The 22,561-nt window shown below is 41.1% G+C and overlaps 1 protein-coding gene, 1 long non-coding RNA gene and 2 pseudogenes across 7 annotated transcripts in view; 2 read left to right on the forward strand and 2 right to left on the reverse strand.

Moving 5' to 3' along the window:
• Nucleotides 1–22,561, forward strand: part of SLC36A1 (solute carrier family 36 member 1) — a 211,490-nt gene that overhangs the window by 16,036 nt on the left and 172,893 nt on the right. The window lies entirely within an intron of this gene.
• The window catches only part of LOC105378234 (uncharacterized), an 84,540-nt gene that overhangs the window by 8,233 nt on the left and 53,746 nt on the right, over nt 1–22,561 (reverse strand). Inside the window, exon 5 of one of the 6 annotated variants that reach the window (XR_007059005.1) lies at nt 3,085–6,027. The exons of 4 other annotated variants lie outside the window; for them this stretch is intronic. This is a non-coding gene — a long non-coding RNA (uncharacterized LOC105378234). Of the gene's footprint in view, nt 1–3,084; nt 6,028–22,561 lie in introns of those variants that run through there. One more of the 6 variants, XR_944425.4, reaches the window with a different exon arrangement.
• Nucleotides 17,368–18,078, reverse strand: LOC100420127 (mediator complex subunit 13 pseudogene; annotated as a pseudogene).
• LOC100419720 (RUN domain containing 1 pseudogene) lies at nt 19,708–21,949 on the forward strand (annotated as a pseudogene).

The raw sequence follows: 22,561 nt of genomic DNA on the forward strand, positions 1-22,561 counted from the left end.
CTCTAAAATGTTTCTATATAGTATTGATCTTTCTTCTGTCCTTTGCTTTAGTTTCAGTACCTGTATCATAGAAAGGTCCATTTTGTTAGGGAAGTCAAAAGCAGTCTTCAATCACCAGAACCCTTCTGTCAGATTTTTAAATGCCAATTAGTTTTCTGACACTGCTGCTGCTTCTTCTTCCTCCTCAGCTGACACCGGTTGAGAAGCACTCATCTCCATCCAGTCATCTTTTGTTAATTCCTCTGGCATGGTGTCTATTTGCTCTTGAATTTCTCCAAGATCCATATCTTGAAACCCTTCACTCCCCATCTTTTTTGTCACATCCACAATCTCTTTTTTTATTTCCTTGATTGGCTCTGTTGTATTAGGTTGGTGCAAAAGTAATCATGGTTTTGGCCATTAAAGTAATGTTATGTACAACATCTAGGCACAGTTTTCTTCTGCAGAAATTTATTGTTTCAGGCTTTTATGGTTTTTTCTATAACCACAATGGCATCTTCAATGGTGTAATCTTTTCACATTTTGATGATATTCTATCAGCACTCTCTTCCATAGCACTGACAATACTTTCCATAGAGTACTATGTGTAGTGAGCCTTAAAGTTCGTTGAGACCCCTGGTGTAGAGGCTGAATTCATTTTCACAATGATATAATTGGACAATATGATGAAAGTTACTAACTGTAATTAGCATTTAACTTATTAGCAACATTGTATTCTTTATTGAGCTGAACAAACAACTCGAAACATCTTATATTGCTTTAAAAATAATATATTTCTTATATCAGTCCAATATCTACTAAAGAAGAACATTTTAGTGCCCAGATATAAGATATTTTAGAGTCAAAAATAGTGAGAGAAATTGAAGTAATCATGTTCTGCAACTGCCCAAATTGTTAACATAAGTGCTTGTTAAACAGACAAAACCTTCTGCTTTCAGATGGTGTATTTAAAATTTCATACTAGAGTTATGAGTGGATTGCATACCACAATTACAGTATTTAAATATTTTGGGTTTGTCTGGGTACTTACTTTTATCAGTAGGTTTTATAGCTTCAAATGTTTTCTTTTTAGATATTAGTGTTTTTTTCTTTCATGCTGAAGAAGCTGCTTAGTATTTCTTATAAGATGGGTCTGGTGGTAGTAAATTCTATCATCTTCTGTTTATCTGGGAAAGACTTCTTCATATTTGAAAAATAGCATTGCTGGAAGTAGTATTCTTGGATGACAGTTTTTTTTTCTTTCAGCACTTTGAAAATGTTATCCCATTGCCTCCTGGCCTATATGGTTTCCATTGAGAAGTCTGTTGCAAGATGAACTGAAGCTCCTTTATACATTGTTTGCTTTTCTCTTGCTGCATTTAGAATCCTCTCTCTGTCCTTGACTTTTGAGAGTTTGATTATCATAAGCCTGGGTAGCCTTATTTGGGTTGAATCTGTTTGTGTTCTCTGATCTTCTTATACCTGAATATTTATCTTTTTCAACTTTTGAAAAGTTTTCTGTTATTATTTTTTAATAAGCTTTCTACCCCTTGCTGTTGCTCAACTACCTCTTGAACACCATTACTTCTTAGATTTGGTCTTTTGAGATAATTTTTTAATATCTTGTAGACATTCTGTTTTCTTTTTTTCCCCCTCTGTGTGTTTTCAAATAGCCTGTCTCCAAGCTCACTGTTTCTATATAGTATTGATCCTTCTTCTATTATTTCCTTTAGTTTGTCTTCAAGCTTACTGATTCTTCCTTTGCTTGATTGATTCTTCTTTTTTTTTTTTTTTTTTTGAGATGGAGTCTCACTCTGCCTCCCAGGCTGGAGTGCAGTGGGGCAACCTCAGCTCACTGCAACCTCCGCCTCCTAAGTTCAAGCAATTCTCCTGCCTCAGCCTCCCGAATAGCTGGGACTATAGGCACATGTCACCATGCCAAGCTAATTTTTGTATTTTTAGTAGAGATGAGGTTTCACCATGTTGGCTGTGCTGGTCTCAAATTTCTGACCTCAGGCGATCTCCCTGCCTCAGCCTCCCAAAGTGCTGGGATTATAGGCGTGAGGCACAGAGCCCAGCCCCTGCTTGATTGATTCTGCTGTTGAGACTCTCTGATGAGTTTTTCAGCTCAGCAAATGTATTTCTCAGTTAAAAGATTTGTTGTTGTTTTTTTCTAAATATCTCAATCTCTTTGTTAAATTTCTCTAATAAATTCCTGAATTGCTTTTCTGCATTATTTTGGAGATCACTGAGTTTCCTTAAAAGTGCTCTTTTGAATGTTTTATCAGAGAGCTCACATATCACAGTCTTGCTAGGATCAGTCACTGGTTCCTTGCTTTGTCTGTTTGGGGAAGTCATGGTTCCCGTGTACTGTTATTTCTTGTGGATGTACACCTATGTCTTTGTATGGAACGATTATTTATTTCAGTCTTCTCTGTCTTTGTTTTAGTTTTTATTTGTTATGTTTGCTTAGAGATTCTTTGTTATTTACCTGTTGAATTTTTTCCCTACTAGGTCACTACCTGTGTTTTGGCACTGGATGACACATTAAGCCCAGGTTTGCCTTGGCTGCCTGTCCCAGATGGAAGAGGTCCCAAAGGGGATAGCCACGCAGTGTGGGAAGGCTGGCTAGGAGTTCATGCCCAGGGGAATTGTGGAATGTATGTCCTACAGTGTGGTGCTGCTGAACAACCACTCTGATTTGACATCTCCTTTGTCTGAGTTTTCAAACACTTGGTGCTGGGCAGATTGGAAGGAGGGTTGCCATGAATATGGAAATCTGATTGTCTTACTGTCTGCTTGATGGCTTTTCACTTCTCTGTGGCCCTGGGAGTTGTTAAATCCTCATATTTGAGTTCTGGGATATCACTGGTGATACTCTTGGTGCTCTATATTTGTTTTTGGTTTTCTGTAGGGGAAACTGAAGCCAGCTTGCTTCAACACCACCATTTTGGAATCAGATCATCCCCAGAGCTTATCATTTTCTTTTTTTACAGTAGTCCTTACGCTGGATTTATTTATCTTGAATTAACAGGCAAGCAGAGCTGCAGACCTTAATCTATAGTATATATTAAACAATTCAACTTTTTCTTGGAATGTCATGATTTTATTTGCTTCTTGGGAGCACTTCCAGCATCACTAGTGGCACTTTGTATGGATCCCATGGTGTTATTCAAGATTTATGGGATTGCACCAAACACAGTGAAAAATACACTAGAACCACAAGAGATCACTTTTACTGTAACATACAATTTACTGGAGAGATGAACTACTGAACTCATGCAGAGATGATTAGTGTCACATGGTATTATAAGCTGATACTAGCAACACTTGAGCTCACCACAATGGCAACAGGATGTATCCACAAAATTATTACAACAGTATAGTATGTACTATAGTTAATTTTATGCAGTTATGATTTAATACTGCATCTTTATGTTTACATTTCTCTTGACTGTGAATGGCACCGTGTGTGGTCTGTAAGTACTTGTGTGTGCTAGTTTTGATAAATTTTAACTTTTATAATAGATTTATGTGTGTTTTATGGCAACGAATGATAAAATAACCTAATATCTGTATATATTTTATGCACTCATGACCTACCTAGCTTTTCTTAATTTTTTAATGTTTCTAGGCTACATGGTTCATCTGCAAGTTTTAAGATGGCCATAAATCTCCAAAAATTCCAATATATTTATTTTAAAAAATCCATACATAGACCTTCACAGTTCAAACCCATGTTGTTCAAGGGTCAACTGTATATGTTTCCCTTTTTGAGAAACTGCCAAACTGCTTTTCAAAGTGATTGTCCCATTTTAGATTTTCATCATCAATGCATGAGGGTTCCAGTTTCTCTACATCCTCATCAAATCTTGGTATTGTCTGCCTCTTTGATCATAGTAATTCTAGTGAGATCCCATTTTAATTATACTATTAAATTATAGAATACTTGTACTATTAAGGATCTTAGAGTTTCAACACTCTCACTTCAGATTAGGCAACTAATCCTAAAAGGAGTAAATGAACTTGCTCAAGGTCACTGAGAGATTTAGTCAGAGTTCTTTCAGTTGCAAATGTTGGAAACCCAACTGAATGTGGCTTAAGCAAAAAGGAACTGACCCATGTAACTGGAAAGCACAAGGTGAAACCTGCATCAGGCACCAGTGGAAGCAGGAGCTCCAAGGACACCAACAGGCTTTTCTTCCATCTCTTGGCATAATTTTCTCCTGCTTGATATATGCTTCTGCTGTGCAGTCTGGGAACATGTTTACTTCAGTTCCAGGTTAGTTCATCTGGGTTTATTAACCCTAGCATTAAGATTACCCTCTTCCTGATATCACTGATTAAAGTCCAAGGGCTCATGAACCCTTGATTATATGGCCATCTCAGAACAAAGCATTATGGACAGGAGGATTGAATGTACTTATTCGCCAAACCCAGGTCATGTGCTCACTTCCTGGAGTTGGGGTAGAGTCTGCTCCTCTAAAACAACTTAGAGAGTGGAGAAAGGGTGGTTGCCCAAGGCAAAATCAGGGCACTGTTTCCAGAAGAAAGAGAAAGATGATAAGAAGGCAATGATGGGACATTACTGGAGGTCCACTGTCTCCAGCTAGCTAGAAGTAGTCCTGGAACTAAAATCTAGTTTTCTATAAACCTCTGCTCAGTGCTCTTCCTATTGAATCAAGATGTTGCCTGTGGCATATAGATGTGATGTTAATGCTCATACAGCATCTTCACCTGGTTAAGGTGCCCAGTAATTGCAAACACATCAAAAATCCTGTCCTATTTGACAGGCTCAGGGAAAGTGGCCAGTTCAGGGGGCAACAGAGGCTGGAGACAAAGTCACAATTGGCCCCACCAATCAGCAGGGAAACCAAACTCTTGGTAACAAGCTTCTGAAGTAGGGAGAGCAAAGATGGTTTAGAAAGTGTCCACAGAGGTCATCTAGTCCACCCTCTCATTTTACAGCTAGGGAAACTGAGGCTCAGAGAGGAAAAGTCACTTGTCTAAAATCAGGCAGCTGAGTCAGGGACAGGGTTTAGTGGTTATGAACAAGGGGTTCAGTACTAAATAGGCCAGTGTTTAAATCTGACTCCACCCCTTACTAACTGTATGAGTTAGCACTAGTTCCCTAACTTCTTGGAACCTAGATGTCCTTTTCTGTGAAATGGAGAAGACATCATCTACCTTACAGGGTTCTGCAGATGATTTAGTGGCATAACGTATGGGATGCATTTTGTACGTTGCCTGGCCCACAGTGTGCCTCCATTGGTGGTGCCTCCTGGTGGTACCAGGTCTCCTGGATCACACATCAATATTTTCTCAGCTCCCAAGACATTGGGACAAGAGGTAGTCCAGCCTGGTTTGGAGAAAAAGGGGTCCTGTTCATGCCTCTTCTGGTCATCATAGGAGAAAACAGTAAAATAATGAAAATCACCAACATTTGTAGAGCACCTTAGCTTTTAAAAATGTATGTGTGCACATACTCTTCCTGACATTCCTGACAACATTCTGAGGTGGGTGAGGCTGAACTTAACTGAATTTGTGAAGTTGAGGCTCCCAAGGGGAAGTGGCCCACTCAGATCTGATGGGGGTAAATGGTAGATCTCAGGAATAGAACTCAGATCCTCTGACCCCACTCCTGTACTCTCCACCCAACACTGTGGTGGCCCCATATAAATATACACATTAGCAATTAAAGAAGGATCTTTGTTCAAACAATGCTAGAATGTCAGTTTAGGAAGTGAAGCGGGAAATGTTGAGTTGAAAATTGGTCACTGTTTCAAGGTGCCAGTGGAGTTTGGAAAGAGGAGAGGTCTTGAGGCTGGATCAGCTCATGGAGGGCCTAGAAGGTCCCCACCAAAAATCCCACAAAGCCCAGGATGCTGATCAGGGCGTCCTTGGTGATGATGAGGGAGCTCATGCACTCTGAGTAGTAGGTAGTCATCTCCAGGAGGCACAGGATGATGAGGGGCAGGGTGCTGCTGCTCACCAAGCTCATCTGGGTAAGGACCATGCCCAGATGGGGGATGAGGATGGCCAGGGAACCTGCAGTGGAAGAAGATAACCTGGTTTCCACTTGCCCCAGAGGGGAACACACTTACAATTAAAATCCGAGCATGGCAGAATATTGGGGGAACCTGCCCCCAGTATCTCAATGTAGGTTAGTTCTATTTTCCATAAGTGTCAGCTGGCTGAGAAATAAAGAGAGACAGTACAAAGAGAGGAATTTTACAGCTGGGCTGCCAGGGGTGACATCACATATCGGTAAGACCGTGATGCCCACCTAAGTCTCAGACCAGCAAGTTTTTATTAAGGGTTTCAAAAGGGGAGGGGGTGTAAGAACAAGGAGTAGGTACAAAGATCACATGCTTCAAAGTGCAAAAAGCAGAACCACTAATAAGGGTCTAACAAAGTTCACATGCTTCTGAGGGAACAGGAAAAAGGGCAAAAGCAGAACCACTGATAAGGGTCCAACAAAGATCACAGGGCAAAGGGCAAAAGCAGAACCACTGATAAGGGTCTGTGTTCAGCAGTGCACGTATTGTCTTGATAAACATCTTAAACAACAGAAAACAGGGTCTGAGAGCAGAGAACTGGTCTTACCACAAATTTACCAGGGCTGCGTTTTCCCAACCCTAGTAAGCCTGAGGGTTCTGCGGGAGACCAGGGCTTATCTCAGTCCTTATCTCAACGGCACAAGACAAACATTCCCAGAGCGGCCATTTATAGACCTCCCCCCAGGAATGCATTTTTTTTTTTTTCCCCAGGGTATTAATATTAATATTCCTTGCTAGGAAAAGAATTTAGCGATATGTTTCCTACTTGCACCTCCGTTTATAGGCTCTGTGCAAGAAGAAAAATATGGCTCTTTTTGCCTGACCCTGCAGGCAGTCAGACCTTATGGTTGTGTTCCCTTGTTCCATAAAAATCACTATTATTCTGTTCTTTTTCAAGGTGCACTGATTTCATATTGTTCAAACACACGTTTTACAATCAATTTGTACAGTTAACACAATTATCACAGTGGTCCTGAGGTGACGTACATCCTCAGCTTACAAAGATAACAGGATTAAGAGTTTATTAAAGACAGGCATAAAAAATTATAAAAGTATTATTTGAGAACTGAAAAATGTCCATAATAAGATGAAGTTGTCCCAATTTATGTTCCTCTGCTGCAGCTTCAGCCGGTCCCTCTGTTCAGGGTCCCTGACTTCCCGTAACAGTAGAACATTTGAAAACATTTCATAGGAGCACTGAGGGGAATCTCCTTGTCTTGCTAATAACTCTCTATGGGGACAGAATCTTTTGGCAGGGTGTTAAAAGAAAAATCCAACATGTGTCCTTTCTAAAAAGGATGCAGGAGGGTAGGAGGCGTTGGACCCCAGTTATGTACACATCCAGATGGAATTCAACCTGTTTAACTAGGCCAAATTATACAACCACCTGCATTTGATTTGAGCTGTTTATATTGAGCCTGATCACCAACCTCCTGGAGAGTTCAGCTACACTGAACTGGATTGATCATTGACTAAAGACATCCTACACCAATAACCTGCCATAATCAATCACAAAGTGTGCCAAAACTGGATGGATCATTGACTAGAGACATCCTACGCTGATAACCTGCCATCATCAATCATAAACTGTGCTAAAACCTTCCTGATGTGTAAACTTACTGTGGCGCTTATAAGCCTCTGCTTAAGCTTGCCTAGATGGAACATAATTTAGCTGCTTTGCTAGATCTGTGTCTCTTGAATTGCAATTCCTAAGACCCTAATTAAAATGTGTTTTCTTTTGTTTGCCACTCTGCAGTGTTAGTTTTATTTCTTAGTTGACATTACATGGTGTCAGAAGTGGGATGCAAAGTGACTCCCTTCTGATCTCCTGTGCCACCATATACCCAAGAAAAAGTATCTGTGGGAACTCCTTGCATTTTATTGACTCCGAATGACCCCAAACTTCACTGGATAAGTCTTTTTGTGTCCTGAACCACCTTCTTACCCTAGCTGAGGTTCAGGCCTTTTTTTGGTTGTCCTCTGTTGCCAGCTTTTACAATAGATTTCTCCTTTTTTCTGGTGACCCTGGTTGCAAAGAATCTTTGTTTTGGTGATCAATCATGGGGAGTTCCCATCCTAAGAGTGTGACTAATGACTTGTCCTATCCATGCCACATTTAAGGTTAAATCTAATGAAGGACTCTCAAGGACCTCTTCAGGAACTTAGTCCCCTTGAACAAAGGCAGAACCCAGAGCTGCAACAAAGGACTTCCCTGGCCCCTTAGAAAATCTAAATGCCTTTGCTAAATAATTCAACTTGGTTACCAAAACCTACCAGCCTGGCTATTTCAACCTTTACCAGCTGATACGCATGCTTGCTGGTGAAGGACATGCTAACACGTGGATGGAAAAAGCTGACTAGTATAACCCTTTAAATGATTTCTCTAAGAGAAGAGTGACTGATCTTACTGATGTTCAAAAATTGGCAAAGATCTCCATAAACAAATCCCTGAAGTTTTCTAAAAAACTATTGACTGGAAAAACAAAATACAACAATGCACCTAAGAACCAGATGACCCAGTCTACAAATTCATTATAGACTACAGAAAATTTTAAGGCAATACTCTGGCTTTGGCAAAATAAATTACACAACCTCCCTTTGTAATTCAACTGTTATCAGTGGACTGGAAGAAGAACATGATAGTAAAGTGAAATCAACTCAATTGGGCTACTGTGAAAACCTCTGACTTGCTTAATCTGTCCAAAAATCCCTCTAACACACCCCTGAAAGGGCAGCTGAGAAGAAAGCAATTCGTGCATTAGATCTTCAAATTCAAGCTGGTCAAGTAATGAACTGTCAAATGCAACAATTAAAAACTAAACCTGTTCCCACCCCAGACTGAACTCCCTCAGGCTGGAGCACAGTGGTACGTTCACAGCTCACTGCAACTTCAAACTCTTGGGCTCAAGTGATCCTCCTGCTTCAGCCTCTTGAAGAGCTGGACCTACAGGCAGGCACACACCACTATGACTGGCTAATTTTAAAATATATTTGTAGATACAGGGTCTCGCTATATTGCCCAGGTTGGTCTAGAACTCCTGGCCTCAAGCCATCCTCTCACCTCAGCCTACCAAAGTGTTGGGATTACAGGCATAAGCCACTGTGCCTGGCATATTTCTCATTTTATTTTTATTTTATTTTTTGAGACAGAGTCTCCCTCTGTCACCCAGGCTGGAATGCAGTGGTGCGATCTCAGCTCACTGCAACCTCCGCCTCCCAGATTCAAGCCATTCTCATGCCTCAGCCTCTGGAGTAGTAGGGACTACAGGTGTGTATCACCATGCCCGACTAATTTTTATATTTTCAGTAGAGATGGGGTTGGGGTTTTCCCATGCTGGCCAGGCTGGTCTCGAACTCCTGACCTCAAGTGATCTGCCCACCTCGACCTCCCAAAGTGTTGGGATTACAGGCGTGAGCCACTGTGCCTGGCCTTATTTCTCATTTTAAAAAGGCCTTTGTTCCTAAATGTTCTCTGAACTCACTGGAAATTTAAAACTGAAGTTAACTAAAAATAAAAACCATTCTGTATTGGAAGCAGATTATATCTGAGGCAGACAGCTTTTCCCCAAGAGTCTGGGCCAAGCCAGTATATGATCATCCCACCACAGATAACAGTTCTGATGTATTTAGTGTATATTATCTTATAGGTACTCATGCAATGCTGCATATTATTGTGTTGTTGTTGTATATGCTTAATGAATATAAATGATACCACATTAGAATTTCATTCTGTTTCTTCCTTTTTTTTTTTGTTAGGCTCCATTCATGTTGTTAGATTTACAGTTACTACTAAAACTAAGGATGGAAATGCCCTTTGGCCCAGATACACCACTTCCTCATATCCACCTTGAAGAAACCTTCCCACATTTCCTAAGTATGTGTATACAATAATATTCTTTGCAGCATTGTTTGTAACAGCAGAATATTGGAAACAAATTCAGTATTTTATAAGATTTTTTCATTAAATTATAATATCAAATCTGTACTTTCTTACTCAATATCAACTTGCTTGTGACCACTATCTGATTTAAATTGCTTCTAGGCTGGGCGCGGCAGCTCACGCCTGTAATCCCAGCACTTTGGGAAGCTGAGGCGGGCGGATCTGTTGAGGCCAGGAGTTTGAGACCAGCCTGGCCAACATGGTGAAACCCCATCTCTACTAAAAATACAAAAATTAGCCGGGCGTGATGGCAGGCGCCTGTAATCCCAACTACTTGGGAGGCTGAGGCAGGAGAATCACTTGGACCCGGGAGACGGAGGTTGCAGTGAGCCAAGATCGCAGTACTACACTCCAGATTGGGCATCAGGGCTCTGTCTCAAAATAATAATAATAATAAAATAAATTGCTTCTAAGTGGAGTTATCATTCTGTGCATTGTAGAACGTTTAGCAGCATCCTTGGCCTGTACTTACTAGACGTCAGTAGCACACCTCCCTTATGTAACAATCAAAAAGTGTCTCCAGACATTGAAAAATGTCCTCCAGGGGTGGAGGAGGGACATTGAGAACCACTGGCATAAATACAAGGGGAAGATAAATAAATAAATTCAGCTAGAGACCTTGCATGGACCACTGACAATCATTTCTTGTATTTGTATAGAACTTTGGAGTTCTTATGTACTTTAATTTTCTATAAACTATATTCATTGTAAAAAATGAGAAAATGTACACAAGCAAATGGAAAACAAACATATACATAATTCTACCAGCCAGAGATCAACTATTATCCCCCTAGCCCTAGACACACACATATTCACTTTTACAAACAACCTTGCACTGTAATATTGTCCTACTACCTACCTTTCTCACTAATGATATCTCATTAGCTTTTTTTGATGTCACATTATAATATGTTAAAGCTTAATAGGGAGACAGAACAGAAATTTATTCTACTTTAGAGATGAGGTCATTGAGACTTAGTGAAGTTAAAAGAATTTCTAATATTCTATCTTGTTATCAACTCCCACTATCAACAGAAATTTGGAAAAGCAAATTTTAGAAAAAGGATGTGTAACAAGGCTAGTGAATAGGATTTTTTTTAAAAACACTCTTCTTTTAGTTTTTAGTTTTTTAAAAAAATATTTTCCTTTTTCGTTTTGGAAGAAACTAAAACTTTCTACCTAATAGCATTACAAACATGTTAAAGGGGATAAATGTGTACTGATCTTCCTTGGTTTTTCTTTTCAGGTTTGGGGCTATCTCACTCTGGTGTTTATGGGAGCGGGAGACAGGGAAAGGGGAGGGAGATTCTGCTTTTGTTGTGACTGTTACACTCTGGATGGGAACTGGCCTCCTTTTAATAGCACATTAACAACATTATTCTACCCAAAGGAAGACAGCTTCCCTTTGGCCTTAGCTGCCTTGTGAGTTTGGTGAACTCCCATCTCTGGCAATGTTCAACCTCTAAAATTCAACTCTAAAATCTTATGAAATATTTTTTGGAACCCTAGTTTCCGTAATTCCAAAACTACAAGCTTCTAGAATTCTGAGATTCTGGGACTCTAGCACAGAGTCTCTCAGTTGTTGTCCTGGTCTTTCTCTACAAAAGGCTATACTCTCAAGACAGAATCAAACCCAAGAAGGCTTCCCACCTTCCCAGCATGCTGGGAGTTGAGGGACATGACTGTTTTTGATACTTCATGGTATTTCTAAAATTAATTTGGACAGCATGTGTGAACAAATGGAAAATTCATCAGAGAGATGGAAATCATACAAAATAGTGAAATGGAAATGTGAGTAATAAAAAAATAGTAACAGAGACAAATAATTCATTAAAAATTTTTTTTTTTTTTAGAAACAAGGTCTCACTTTGTTCCCTAGGCTAGAGTACAGTGGCACAATTACAATGCACTGCGTCCTGGAACTCCTGGGCTCAACTGATCCTCCCGCCTTAGCCTCCTAAGTAGCTAGGACTTCAGGTGCATGTCACCACGCCCATCTATTTTCATATATATATATTTTTAGAGACGGGGTCCTGCTGTGTTGCCCAGGCTTATCTTGAACTTCTGGCCCCAAGCAGTCCTTCTACCTTGGCCTCCCAAAGTGCTGGGATTACAGGCATGAGCCACCACTAAGAATTCTTTTGATAAAGTTATCAGTGGACTCAATGAAGACAAGGAAATAATCTGTGAACTTGATGATAGGTCAATAAAAATTATCCAAACTGAAATATAAACAGAAAAAAAGAGTGAAAAAACTAGAACATCCAAGAGCTGTGGGACAATGTCAAACTGTTTAACATATGAGTAATTGGAATCCCAGATGAAGAAGACAGAATGTGGCAAAAGAAATATTTGACTTTGAGAAGATGAGGTAAGAGGATCACTTGAGTTCAGAAGTTCAAGACCAGCCTGGGCGACACAGTGAGACTCCTCCATCTCTATTAAAAAATATAAAATAAATATTTGAAGAAAAAAAGAAATAATGGCCAAAAATTTTCAAAAAATAATAAAAGACATAAAACTATAGATCAAAAAGTTCAGAGCCGAGTGCAGTGGTGTATGCCTGTAGTCCCAGCTACTTTGGAGGCTAAGGCAAGAGGATGTTTTGAGTTCAGGAGTTTGAGGCCAGCACAGGCAACATCATGAGACCTCGTCTAAAAAAAAAGTGCAGAGAAAAATACCAAAATAAAGAGGATAAGGACCAACACAATACACACACACACACCTGCCTAGACACATCATATTCAAACTGATGTAAATAAAAAATAAAGGGAAAACCTTGAAAGCAGCCAAGGGAAAAAGACATTTAGATACAGAGAAACAGATATAAGAATTAAAGTTATCAGAAATTATGCAAATCAGAAGACATTGAAGTGATAGCTTGTCAGTGTTTACACAAAAACATTGTCAACCCAGAGAAAATATCTTGCAAAAATGAAGGAGAAGTAAAGCCTTTTTTTAAAAAAACAAATGAAAACTAAGATAATTACTGGCAGATCTGTTCTATAAAAGTTAAATTCTTCAGGAAGAAGAAATATTATTCCAGACAGAAACTTACATCTATAAAAAGAAATGACAATCTTTGGAGATGGTTAAAGTATAAAAGATAGTTTTTCCTTATTTTTAACTTTTAAAAAAATTGTTTTAGAGACAGGGTCTTGCTCTGTTGCTCAGGAGAGTAGTGGCACAGTCATAGCTCACTGCAACCTCAAACTCCTGGGTTCAAGCAATCCTCCTCCCTGGGCCTCTCAAAGCACTGGGATTACAGGTATGAGCCACTGTGCTCAGCCTGTTCTTCTTTATTTTAAATTGCTCTAAAAGAGATTTGATTAAAGCAGAGACAAGCAAACTATGGCCTATGGGCTGGTGTGTATGTATGCGTGAAAGATTCTCCCCGGGGCCTGAAAACTTGAAGGGATGAATAACACCTTCCTTCTCAGGCCTAGTCCAAGGTGCAAGGCCCTTGCACCAGCAGCGTGCGTCAGCAAGATAGCAGAAGCAGGAAGAGAGCTGGCTGGAGGACACCTACCCTGGCCGGAAGACACCTACCCTGGCCAGAAGACACGTACCCCTGAAGATCGAGAAAGAGTCCGTCTGGGTACTAGGTACCAGTCATGTCAGACTGGGACACTTCCTGTTTACAGAGGACTATGAAACCCCTGTCCTGTCCTCACTTGGGGCTGATGCCATTTTAGGCCTCAGGCCGCCTGCACCCAGGAGCTCATTAAAACAGCATGTTGCTCCACACCACCTCGTGTTGTCTGTTGGTGCGCTCTTGGGGTTCGAACCGATACAAGAACCTTTCAATGTGTATGTGTATGTGTGTGTGTATATATATATCACATTTTGTTTATCCATTCATCCATTGACAGACACTTAGGTTGATTCTGTATATTTGCTATTGTGAATAGCACTGCAGTAAACATGCTAGTGCAGGTATATTTTTCATAAAATAATTTCTTTTCTTCTGGGTAGATAGCCAGTAGTGGATGGATCAAATGATTGTTCTATTTTTAGTTTTTTTGAGAAATCTCCATACTTTTTCATAGAGGCTGTAGTAATTTACATTCTCTAATGCAAATACAACAATGTATTAGCATTCCTTTTATTCTGCTCCTTGCCAACATCTGTTATATTTTGATTTCTTAATAATAGCCATTCTGACTGGTGTAACGTGATATTTCATTGTGGTTTTAATTTGCATTTCTCTGATGATTAGTGATGTTGAACATTTTTTCATATTAAGAAATGTCTACATATGTCATTTGGCAACTTTCTAATGGAGTTATTAATGTTGGGGTTTTTTTTTTTTTTGAGTTGTTTCAATTCCTTGTAAATTCTGGATATCAGTCCCCTGTTGGATGCATAGTTTGCAAATATTTTCTCCTATCTTGCAGATTGTCTGTTCACTTTGTTAATTATTATTTTGCTGTGCAGCAGCTTTTTAGCTTAATTAAGTCCCATTTGTCTATTTTTGTTTTTGTTGCCTGTACTTTTGAGGTCTTAGTCATGAATTCTTCGCCTAGTCTAATGTCCAGAAGTGTTTTCCCTGGGTTTTCTTCTAGCATTTTAATAGTTTCAGGTCTTATGTTTAAGTCTCTAATCCAACTTGAGTTGATTTTTGTATATGGTGAGAGATAGGGGGTCCAGTTTTATTCCTCTGAATATGGCAATCCAATTTTATCAGCATCATTTATTGAAAAGGGTATCCTTTTTCCAGTGTATGTTTTTGTCAACTTTGTCAAAAATCATTTGGCTATAGACATGTGGCTCTATTTCTGGGTTCTTTATTCTGTTCCATTGGTCTTTGTGTTTATTTCTATACCAGTGTCATGCTGTTTTGGTTACTATAGCCTTGCGGTATAATTTGAGGTCAGGTAATGTGGTGCCTTCAGCTCTATTCTTTTTGCTTTGGATGCTTTGGCTATTTGGGCTTTTGGGGGAGGGGTTCCATATAAATTTTAAGGTTTTTTTTTCTGATTCTGTGAAGAATGAGCATGGAATTTTAATAGGGATTGCATTGAATCTCTAGATCACTTTGGGCAGTATAGTCATTTTAACAACTGTGTTTTCTAGTTTTCCTTGTAGAGATCTTTCACCTCCTTGGTTAAATATATTCCTAGGTATTTTATTTTTTGTAGCTAATGTAAATGGGATTGCCTTCTTGATTTGGTTCTCAGCTTGATTGTTATTGGCATATAGAAATGCTACTGATTTTTGTATATTGATTTTGTATCCTAAAACTTTGCTGAATTCATTAATCAAACCTAAGAGTTTTTTGTTTTTGGAGGAATTTTTAGGTTTTTCTAGACATAGATCATATTATCATCAAACAGAGGTACTTTAACTTCCCTTTCCCAGTTGTATGCCTTTATTTCTTTTTCTTGCCTGATTGCTCTGGCAAGGACTTCCAGTACCATGTTGAATAGGAATGGTGAGAGTGGGCATTCTTGTCTTACTCCAGTTCTTAGGGAGATTGCTTTAAACTTTTCCCTGTTCAGTATGGTATTGGCCATGGGTTTGTTGTATACGGCCCTTGTTGTTTTGAGGTATGTTCCTTCTTTGCCTATTCTGTTGAGGGTTTTTATCATGAGGGAATGCTGGATTTTATAAAATTATTTTTCTTCATCTATTAAGATAATCATATTGTTTTTGTCCTTAATTCTGTTTATGTGATAAATCACAGTTATTGATTAGATAAATCAATAAATAGTCTAGCTAGAAGTTTGTCAATTTTGCTTATCTTTTCAAAGAACCAACTTTTTGTTTTGTTGATCCTTTTTATCTTTTTTTGTTTTCAATTTCATTTAGTTCTGCTCTAATCTTTATTATTTCTTTTCATTTGTTAGCTTTGGGTTGGGTTTGTTCTTGTTTTTCTAGTTCCCAGAGGTGTGATAATAAGTTGTTAATTGGTGATCTTTCTATTTTGTTTTGATGTAGGCATTTAACTCTATAAACGTCCCTCTTAGCACTACTTTTTTTATATATCTCAGAATTATGTTGTATATCCATTTCATTCATTTCAAAAATTTTTTTTTTTGAGATGGAGTTTCACTCTTGTTGCCCAGGCTGGAGTGCAATGGTGTGATCTTGGCTCACTGCAACCTCTGCCTCCCAGGTTCATGTGATTCTCCTGTCTCAGCCTCCTGAGTAGCTGGGATTACAGGCACATGCCACCACACCTGGCTAATTTTTGTATTTTTAGTAAAGATGGGGTTTCATCATATTGGTCAGGCTGGTCTCGAACTCCTGACTTCAGGTGATCCACCTGCCTCGGCTTCCCAAAGTGCTGGGATTACAGGCATGAGCCGCCGCACCCGGCCAAAAAAATTTTAAATTTCCATCTTAATTTCATCATGGACCCAAAGATCGTTAAGGGACATATGGTTTAATTTTCATGTATTTGGATAGTTTTGAAAGTTCCTCATGGTATTGATTTCTAGTTTTGTTTCCCTGTGGTCTGAGAAGACACTTCATAGGGTTTCAGTTTTTAAAAATTTATTGAGACTGATTTGTGGACTAACATACAATATGTCTTGGAGAATATTCCATGTGCTGATAAGAATGTATACTCTGCAATTGTTGGGTAGAATGTTCTGTAAATATTATTTGGTCCATTTGGCCTAGAGTCCAGTTTGAGTCTAGTGTTTCTTTGTTGATTTTCTGTCTCAGTGATCTGTCTAATGCTATGAGTGGGGTATTGAAGTCCCCCACTATTATTGTATTGCTGTCTCTTTCTTTTTTTTTTTTTTTTTTTGAGACGGAGTTTCGCTCTGTCGCCCAGGCTGGAGTGCAGTGGCGCGATCTCGACTCACTGCAAGCTCCGCCTCCCGGGTTCACGCCATTCTCCTGCCTCAGCCTCCCGTGTAGCTGGGACTACAGGCGCGCGCCACCATGCCCGGCTAATTTTTGTATTTTTAGTAGAGACGGGGTTTCACCGTGTTAGCCAGGATGGTCTCGATCTCCTGACCTCGTGATCCGCCCGTCTCGGCCTCCCAAAGTGCTGGGATTACAGGCGTGAGCCACCGCGCCCGGCCTGCTGTCTCTTTCTTTAGGTCTAGTAATACTTGTTTTATAAATTTGGGTGCTCCAGTGTTGGATGCATATATATTTAAATTGCGATATACTCTTCTTGAATTGATCTCTTCACCATTATGTAATTATTTTCTTCTTTTTTAACTATTTTTGATTTAATATCTATTTTATCTGATACAAGTATAGCTACTCCTGCTCACTTTTGGTTTCTGTTCATGTAGAATATCTTTTTCCATCTTTTAATCTTCAGTGTCTAAGTGTCTTTACCAGTAAAGTGAGTTTTTTATAAGTGGCATACCGTTGGTTCATTTTAAAGCTCAATCCCGTAATCTCTATCTTTTAAGTGGGGTCTTTATTTAGTCCAAATTGGCTTAAGATAACTGGAAATGGGCTATTAAGCTGTTGAGCAAGGGTGATGTGATCTTCACTAAGAAGGTATACAGGTTGATGTTGGCTAATTTCCACATTGGTACAAACATTGATGTCTCCATGCAAGAAAAAGGTGAAAGAGCAGGACAATCATTCACTTTTATTTATAGGTTTTTAATCTTCTTCATGAGACTGTACAAACCACTTGCCAATACATACAAAGTTCTGGTTCATTAAACACCATCCCAACAGACTGTGAACTGCTTTGAAAAGCAGAGTATGGCATTCAGAGTAAAGTCTTTTCTCCCATACTCCATCCTCCTCGTCTGTTAAATCCTGGTAAATAAGGTCAGCAAAATTGGGGTCTTTGCCCCACCAAAATATTGACAATTCTCTTCTTCTAGGTATTTGATCTTGCTGCCAAACACCAGCTATATCTGTCTTAAGGCAGCGATTAAAGCTGTTCAAATTAGGGTCACCTTGAGTCGTGGGAAACATAATAGGGGCAGAAGTTGGGCCTTGCCATACATATCTTTTCCATTTAATCCCTGTCGAGTCAGCCAGGCAGAAGAGGTCATGGTGACCATCTTCCAGGCTGGCCTGGTTCATCATGAAGGAGGAATTCATCATCTCTCATAGTAGCTGCCACCAGCACCACAGCCACCATCTGCCATTACTGCCACCGCCAACCACAGATAAAAACGCTTGACACCGGGGAGGGTGAGAGGTGGGTGGTGGTTGGAGGAGTTGAGGAAAAGGAGGTTGCTGGGCCACCTGCCACCTCTACCCACCCCCTGCCACTGCCATGAGCAGCCACTGTCACTTGGCTGGCACACAGCCACCTGGGCCTGAGGGCCAGAAGGGGAGGGCCATGCTGCACTCACCCAGCAGGCTGGACCGTGGAGCCAATGGATGGACACCCGTATCTCTCGGAAGAAGAGAGGAGATGTGTGGCCTTTTCACAGGAACAATAATAAATTACACAATAAATAATCAAAATTGGGTCAGAGTTGGCAAAGCCCAAGCCCTGGAAATTTCTCCCAGGTGGGGAGGTGCTTGCACAGGGTCAGGAAAGCTGAGAATGGGGAGAGAAGCCCAGGCCCCCAGCCTGGCAGTGGTAATGTCCTTAAGCCTATAGTCTCCTCAATGGTGGCAGAATTTGCAGACTCAGACCATTCTCTGGCTCCATCTTTGTGTTGTCTCTTGCTGAGCCAGCCTAACGTTGGCCCTCCTGCTGCCTCACTGCCTGGATACCATTTTATGAGCCAAGTAGGCGATGTTTTTTTCCTACTTTAATTGAAATTTATAGGTTTTCTTATTTATTGATTTATTTATTTGAGACAGAGTTTTGCTCTTGTTGCCCAGGCTGCAGTGCAATGGCACGATCTTGGCTCACTGCAACCTCCGCCTCCCGGGTTCAAGCGATTCTCCTGCCTCAGCCTCCCAAGTAGCTGGGATTACAGGCATGCGCCACCACACCCAGCTAATTTTGTATTTTTAGTAGAGATGGGGTTTTGCCATTTTGGTCAGTCTGGTCTCGAACTCCTGACCTTGGTGATCTGCCCGCCTCGGCCTCCCAAAGTGCTGGGATTACAGGCATGAGCCACCGTGCCCGGCGCTCTTCACTTTAATTGTGGCCACAGGGACCTGCTTGCCCTCTCTGGGGTAAATTTTAACATTATATTTAACTTAACACAATATACCCCAAATATTACTCTTTCAATGTGTAACAATATAAAAACTATTAAAATATTTTACATGTTTTGTACTACAGTTTTAAAATCTAATATTTATTTTATACTTATGGCACGTCTCAATTCAGATTAGTCACATTTCAAGCGCTCAATGTGGCTAGCAACTATATTAATGCAGGCATACAAGAAATATTATAGCATTAAGTGCTTATATTAGAAAAGAAAATAGGTCTCTAATCGATAATCTAAACTCTGATGTCAAGCAACTAGAAAAAAAAATTAACTCAAAGCAAGGTGAAGGGGAGAAAAAGAAGAAAAAATGCACAAAATTGAAAACAGTGTAAAAACGATACAGGAAAATTAATAAACCAGAAAATTATTTGTTTGAAAAGATCAATAAAATCTACCAGACTATTCAAGAAAGAAAAGACAAGAAGACACAGATTACCAATATCAGAAATGAAAAATAGGACATCACTCTAGATCCTATTGACATTAAAAGGATAATAAGGAAATGTTAAAAAGAACCCTAGGTGGGAGGCTGCGGCGGGCGGATCACCTGAGGTCCGGAGTTCGAGACCAGCTTGGCCAACGTGGTGAAACGCCCTCTCTACCAAAAACATACAAATTAGCTGCCAGGAGACCGGCCACAGTTGTGGGGCGAGGACCAGAGTGAGCAGGAAAAACAAGAGCGTGTGGAAACCCAAAGGAAGAAGCAGAAAGAATGGATACTGTAGCTCAAGACCTAGCTAGATGACTTGGAAACATGTGCCTATCCAAGAGCAGTTATGATGCCCTGCGGCAGTTCGTGTGTTGGAAAGACAGTGGGTGATCCTAGACAAGTTAATAAAGAAACTGGACATGCGTCTGAATGAGGACATCAGTTCCCTGTCCACTGAAGAACTTCGTCAGTTTGTAGATGCAGTAGTGGCTCACATCGTCAACCCAGCCCTAGTCAAAGATCAGTTGGTTGAGCAACTGAAAACTCAGATCGGAGACCTCTAGATGTCCATCGACCTCATCCAAGATGAAGTGGGAAGCCCCTTGCAGACAGATGGTGGACATTGTGAGCGCAAGGCCTCTGGGAAGACAGGAAATGGTTCCACCAGAACTGGCAGCAGCAGACCCACTGCCTCCAGGACACAGCAAAACAAAGGCAAGGGATGTGAAGAAAGTCCAAGGGACGGGGCTGCACCTGATGCCGCAAGCATTGGCAATGCTCCAGATTTTGCTGTTAGCTAATTTGGTTGTGTGACAGGCCAGATCCCTCCAACCCTATAACAGAGGGGCCAGGCTGACAGACTATGCTCTCTTGTTGAAGAGGCGGGAGGTGTCAGTGGACAGAGAGAAGCAGCTAGCCTTGAGGCACCAGCCACACGACCATGTCACCACCTCTGCCATCCTCCAGGACCTCTCTCTGGCAGGCAAGGATGAGCTGGCCATGGCTGTGTGGAAGGAGCTGATGGTGGCTGTGAGGGACCTGCTAGCCCATGGACTATATGCCTCCTCCTCAGGAATGAGCCTCATCATGGCTCCTATTGCTCATTTGCTGCCAGCCTTCTCCTCAGCCCCTGAGCCCATGCACCCCTGGGAGCTCTTTGTAAAGTACTGAAACCGCCTTTGTAAAATTATGACTGAGACAGTGAAAGAGATCTAATTTAACTGACTCCATCTTGCTTCTAACCCCCAAGCCATCTTTGTTCATTCCTGGGCACAAGCTGAACTAACTATGGAAGAAACTTAGTTTGCAGTTTATAGTTTAAACAAAGATGGTAACAGCCCTTTCCCAAAGCAGACCTCCTTCTTATCTGGGGACTAGACTAGCCACAGGATTAGAAATTATGGTTTAAGAGTCATGCACCTGGAGGCTACAAGATTCTGACCCTCCATAAACTGGTCCTAAGATCAGTTCTTGCGATATTTTGTGGGCCCTGCACTTGACAGATCAGCTGGCACCACCCAGATTGATAAACTGGCTTGTCTGATCTTGTGGCCCCCACCCAGGAACTGACTCAGTGCAAGAAGACAGCTTTGACTCCCTGTGATTTCAACCCTGACCAATCAGCACTCCTGGCTCACTGGCCCCGCCCCCTACCCACCATGTTATCCTTAAAAACTGCCCCTAAATGCCTGGGGAGACCGATTTGAGTAATAATAAGACTGGTCTCCCGCAAAGCCAGCTTTGTGTGAATTACTCTTTCTCTGTCGCAATTCCCTTGTCTTGATGAATCTGCTCTGTCTAGGCAGTCAGCAAGGTGAACCCCTTGGGGGGTTACAGTACTACCATGCTAAAAATGGCAGTGCTTATGCCCAGCCCGGGAGCTCTCCCAGTCTTTGCCCTTCCTGTTACAGGAGGCACTGATGTAACCCCCAAAGAGAGCCTACTGACAGTCATCCACATGGTGCTGACAGAGCACGACCCTTTCAAGCACAGTGCAGACTCTGAATTGAAGGCTTTGGTGTGCATGGCACTGAATGAGCAGCGTCTGATGTCCTGGGTGAACCTCATCTGCAAGTGCGGGTCACTCATCGAGACTCACTACCAGCCTGGGAGCTACATAGCACACACAGGCTTTGAGAGTGCCCTCAACCTGCACAGTCGCCTCAGCAGCCTCAAGTTCAGCCTCCCTGTAGATCTGGCCATGCGCCAGCTCAAAAATATCAAAGATGCCTTTTGATGAGAATGCCCTGACTCCAGGCAAGCTCCTTGCTCAGTAGGGATAGATGTGTTAGTCTTCTAGCATAGAAGCAAGGAATCAAAGATGGGGTTAAATGCATTTTTCCCAGACCCTGCTTAGGTCATCAGCCAAATGAGTGCAAAGTGTGTTTTCCCCACCAACTTAGCATCTTGGAAAGATGTGCTGGAGACTCTCTTGTTAAGAAGGTTCTGCCCTGGTGTGTAACCATAGTGTGCATGTGGGCACATGTGCTTGAGCCTGTGTTAAAGAAATCAATTGTGGCACATAGTACCCCAACTCATTGCGCCAAATCTGATTCTCAGAAAACCTAGGTTGCTTTAACCATTCTCTTTATGGCCGTGAGTGACAACATGAGTGAGTCATTGGTACCAGAATAATTTTGCCTGGAGGAACCTGTTAGTTGAGCCATCTTTCACTTGAAGCATGTTTGAGAGGCCAAGGCCAGAATTTAAATTCCTTTTATGAATAGATTTCCCTTTCTTCCTGACCCCAAGGCCAGAGGAGACTATATATTCCATGGCTGCCTCTAAAACTAGGAATGGGGATATCTGAAAACAGCATTAAAGCCAGGATGGTCTCAATCTCCTGACCTCGTGATCCACCCACCTCGGCCTCCCAAAGTGCTGGGATTACAGGAGTGAGCCACCGCACCCGGCCCACAGTCTTTTTAGAAGTAAATATATTCAAGTTAAATGAGCAAATCCTTGCCACCCAAGTTGAGTATGTACAGGAATACAAATCGGTAACCTGCAGCTGTTCCTCTTTGGGTTGTGACTCACTGGGCAC

Source organism: Homo sapiens, chromosome 5, assembly GCF_000001405.40.
Source record: "Homo sapiens chromosome 5, GRCh38.p14 Primary Assembly".
In the NCBI taxonomy this organism is placed as follows: domain Eukaryota; kingdom Metazoa; phylum Chordata; class Mammalia; order Primates; family Hominidae; genus Homo; species Homo sapiens.